We start from the raw sequence: 5,130 nt of genomic DNA, 5'->3' as shown, positions 1-5,130 counted from the left end.
CACACTTCAGTGAAAGTCTGGCTTTTCATCACAGGTTGATCTGAAAATTGTGCACAAGACTGGTGTCTCACATGTTCTTTCTCCAACCTCAGCTTTTCTTAGTGCCTAAAGTGTCTGCAAGTGGAAATCCAGAGAAAGACAGAGAGAAATTGAGTTCCTGACAATGCATTCACTAGTGAGTAGGGGATGCCTCTTTCTACTGAAATTATACCTATATTGCTGGCAAACGGGCAGTTTTCTCCAATTTGCATGGGTGTTTCATTTTTATTCTTTTTTTTGTTTGTTTTTATGATGTAAAATCCACCCAGCCTGGGTGTTCCAAATGCAATCAGGAGGCTTTCAGGTATCTGGTCTCCAATTAAGTTTTCTCAGGACTTTAGGTTGGGTATCGTGTGTCAAAGACTCCTAAATTATCAATATAATTTCTAATATTACACTACTTTATTCCAGCCCCTATTAAGGCTATTTACAAAAAAAAGATATGAAAGGTTTCATTTATATATTTCTTTTTCTTCTATCCATCCTATAATCTCATAGGGAAATAATTGACCCATTAACTGTACTGTTGGCTGAAATAGACTTAGGATTGTGATGAATGCAGGTGATAGAGATGAGTAAGAGCAGAACATCACAGCCCAACAATGAGTCTGATGTTCTAGCAGCTGAGTTCAATAAATCCAGTGTGATAGGACTTGGGTAAGAGCTGTGCAGTGTTGAGGGAAAAGAAGAGTTTGATAAAATATATTTGAGCTTTTAAAAACTTTGTGAAAGGACAACTAAAGAAGTCATTATTATTCTTATCCCCATTCATTTTACCTTTTGGTAATTAACCTTTTTGCCTTCTGGTAGCTGTAAGTAACATATAAGAAATATAATTATTTAATTATGGTTGCACACTCAGAAGAAGGAATATAGTAGATAGAGTACAATTTAGGGTTCTGTGGAAATGCTTTATAAGGGCTAGTTAGAAAAAAAAAACAATGAAGAGGCTTTTTTAATCTTTGAACAAGTGAAGTGACGAGGTAAATTTAAAAGAGAAACAATGACAACTGATGTTTGGATTGCCGAGAGAAAGTTGAGAACAGGAGGCTTCATATCACAGGAATCACCAGACTAAGATTTCCTCAGTATAGCAGCCTCAGCGGTCTTGTCTTGTGCTGCTAGACTGTCTTTAAGCCTTGTCATGAACACCTGAATTATATAACATTAGAGAGACTATATGTATGAATTGAATCCTATATTCTGCATAAAGCTTGTTCAGTTCTGAAGAATGCTGGAGTCTGGGTCATTACTTTCTAACTTTTTAATGAGTAAGGGACCAATGACTTATATTTAATAAATATTTGCTAGATAGGAAACACGTTTTCTATTAGTTCATTAGATTATTCAAAACACATCATAGGTCTTTTAACCATTTGATTGGTGAGAAACCTGTGGTTCATCTAGAGAAATAATTTATTTCATCACAGTCATGTTTAAAAAGTAGTAAATCATGGTTATTTGCCTTGTGGCAAATCTGTAATTTACTTGAAATTCATGGTAAATTTCATTTTATTTATGAATGTTCAAGTGAAAATTTTATAATCAGTTATGTAGAGGTGATTAACACATTACTGAAAAATATCTGGGTTATATTATGCCACACCTCATGCGATATTTCTTTATAGTAAAGTTTAATGGATTCAGAGTGGGTATATCTCTGTGAGTGAATCTGAAAGGCAGATACCAGCTTAGCACTGAGAATGAACTGGCTGGAACCAAAACACTGATTATTCTGCATACCCAGCTCCTAGCTATGTCATCTCAGCCTTCCCCTTCCGGACATTGAAAGGGATTTCTCTGTCTAAACTAAAATGTCTGTGATGTTTTAGAAGAAAGTGACTTTTGAAGATGTAGCTATTGACTTCACCCAGGAAGAGTGGGCCATGATGGACACATCCAAGAGAAAGCTGTACAGAGATGTGACGCTGGAAAATATCAGTCATCTGGTGTCCCTCGGTGAGTCCCTCAACATTCACGTACATATGTAGACACACATTCGCTCATTCATTCAATAAGTGTTAGAACAGCTTCCCCACATCTCACTCTAATCTCTTCTCTGCTTCTCTCACAGATCTCATCTGAAAAAAGTTTGAACTCTCTAAATCTATCTGAAATAAATATCTTTCTTTTTATTTTATTTTATTTAGTTTGTCACTCAATTAGAATGTAGTCTTGACAAGGATTTCATGGTTTCTTTGGTACTCAGTCTCTAATACTCATAACAGACCTGGGAACTTGATGAATATTTTCAATGTATTACATTAAATATTTTCTAAATAACTCTTTTGCTTTAGTCTATGCCTAGGCTGAGACCAATTAGTGAAAACAATAGCAATATCTTTTCCATATAGAACACCAATTATATTTCTAAAACGAATGATTTTTTTGTTGTGCGTGAGAATAATAATAAACACACTGTGCAGAGATTTAATTACTCTCTTTCTGAAAAGATTGTGTATTATGCATTGTGTCTTGGAACTTAGGCATGGACTCAGCATTCATAGGTCTTGACTGTTTTGAATTTCCTTTTCCTGATGGACCTTTGGTTTGGATTTATTTTCTAGTCTCACGTTGGGTCAGAAAAATCCTGGGGAGTTTTCTGTGTTCTAGGTCTTGTGGCCTGAGCTGACCTTCACTGTTTTTATTCTTCCTTGATAGCCTGCCTTACACTTGGTGATAATGCACATTTATTGACAGTGAACTCAAAACACATGTATTCTTTCCACTAACAGGGTACCAGATGAGCAAATCCTATATAATTTTGCAGCTGGAGCAAGGAAAAGAGCTGTGGCGGGAAGGAAGAGAATTTCTTCAAGACCAGAATCCAGGTAAGCAACAGGGTCCTGTGCTCTAATAGGAGGAGGTGCTTTGTCAATGAATAATATCAGTTGAATATTAATTAGTGGTTTTATTAAATGAGTGATAATTTCTAAAATGTAGGCTAGGCTACTGGAGCAGAATTCCTTAGATGTTATTATCATTTTGTTCATGTGTCAGATGCTACTCTTGTGTCCTCTTTTTTTTCTTTTCTTTTACTTTTGGGAAAAGGATAATTCATGTACTTGGCTGGGGTTAAACTTTCATATGCTGACTCTTTTCCTGATACCCCTGTGAAGACTATCCCTCTATTTACCTGCCTGATATCTCATCTCCATTTTAACTCTTTTCACATTTTAATTTTAAAAATCTTTTCTAATTGCTGACACTGTACAATCTATTTCTTCTATTCAAGTAGTTTCTTCATTTGACACACTTGCCACATCTAAGTGTCAATTTTTGAAAAAAAGTGAATGGGCCTTGGGGCTTTTCAAACAATTTTATTACCATAATACCAATGTAACAATTTATTTTTCAATTATTTCAGACAGGGAAAGTGCCCTTAAGAAAACACACACGATATCCATGCATCCTATCATCAGAAAAGATGCATCCACCAGTATGACAATGGTAAGTTTTATAGCTGTGTACACCAGTCATCTAAGTTAAAGACATGGTAATGGGTTAAGTTAGTAATGAAGCACAATCACCTGAGTGTAATTAGGCTGGCATTAAGTGCTTTGTAAGCAAAAAAAAAAATTAGATGCTTTGAATTTAGTGAATACATTGACCTGTGTTCTAAACCATAATATGAGATCTCTAAAATAGAACAAGTGCATATACATTGCTCATGCCCAGGCATTGAAAGATATTTACATAATCACAATTATGCAATAACTCTGCAGTTGAGATGTTACAGAAGAGAACATATCTGTGTCTGCAGGAGATAACGTGTATGCAAATGTCAATCGAGAAAAATGACAAGACAAGTCTCAATAATTTTAGGAGAATTATTTGCCAAAGTTAAGGACATGCACCCAGGGGACAGGTGTATGCCTTTCTCCAAAGATGATTTTGAAGGCTCCAAATTTAAAGGGGAAAGGGTGTGATATTGAGAAGTACACAATTTTCATGTAAAAGGTGGGTAGAAAAAAATAGTCATTCATGCATTTTTCTGGCTCAGTGAATCTGGATTTTTTTACATAAGATGACATAAACAAATGAGGCAGAGGAATAATGCAGCAAAGCTGCATTTTACATAAGACAACATAGGCAAAATGGGGCAGGGAAACAATCATATATGCATTTGTGTCTGGTGAACTGGGGGTGACTGCACCTGTAAAGACAAGTTATCAGTTTGCATTGCCATGGTGTAATTTTAACAGCTCATGAGGGATTTCCTCATGGGCAAAATATGGGGGAGGCATGTAGCTTTTCATCTTGTAGCCATATTATTTAGGAACCAGAAGGGGGAGGCAGGTTTGTGTGACCCAATTCCCAGCTTGATTTTCCCTTTGGTTAAATGAGTTTGGGGTCCCAAAATTTAATTTCCTTTCACACAAGAAACATTGGAAAGATTTCAACTGGGGTCTACCACTGAATGGTTGGTCTAGGATTCAAAGGTAGTGAAATGAATGTATAGATATATGTGGGTAAACCATTAAGAGCTTTAAATCTTTGCCCCAAAGGAGAACTCTCTCATTCTGGATGATCCTTTTGAATGTAATGATTTGGGAGAAGGTTGCACTCACAGTTCCACAATAACTCAGTGTTTGTTAACTCATAGTGGAAAGAAACCCTATGTCAGCAAACAGTGTGGAAAATGCCTTCATAATCTTTTGTCCCCTAAACCACATAAACAAATTCATACTAAAGGTAAATCATATCAGTGTAATCTTTGTGAAAAGGCCTATACTAATTGTTTTCACCTTAGATGGCACAAGATGACTCACACTGGAGAGAGGCCAAATGCATGTCATCTATGTAGAAAAGCCTTCACTCAGTGTTCTCACCTTAGAAGGCATGAGAAAACTCACACGGGACAGAGACCATATAAGTCTTCAATGTGGGAAAGCCTTTATTCAATCCTTTAACCTTTGAAGACATGAGAGAACTCACCTTGGAAAAAAGTGCTATGAATGTGATAAAAGTGGGAAAGCCTTTAGTCAAAGCTCTGGCTTTAGAGGAAACAAAATAATTCACACTGGAGAGAAACCACATGCTTGCCTTCTATGTGGGAAGGCCTTCAGTCTGTCTTCCGACCTTAGATGA

At 36.3% G+C, this 5,130-nt stretch overlaps 1 pseudogene; it reads left to right on the top strand.

Annotated features, from left to right (window-relative positions):
• LOC105378242 (zinc finger protein 705A-like) lies at positions 1–5,130 on the top strand (annotated as a pseudogene).

This window comes from Homo sapiens, chromosome 4, assembly GCF_000001405.40.
Source record: "Homo sapiens chromosome 4, GRCh38.p14 Primary Assembly".
Lineage (NCBI taxonomy): Eukaryota > Metazoa > Chordata > Mammalia > Primates > Hominidae > Homo > Homo sapiens.
The sequence above is the reverse complement of the archived record's forward strand: the minus strand, read 5'-3'. Positions and strand labels throughout refer to the sequence as shown.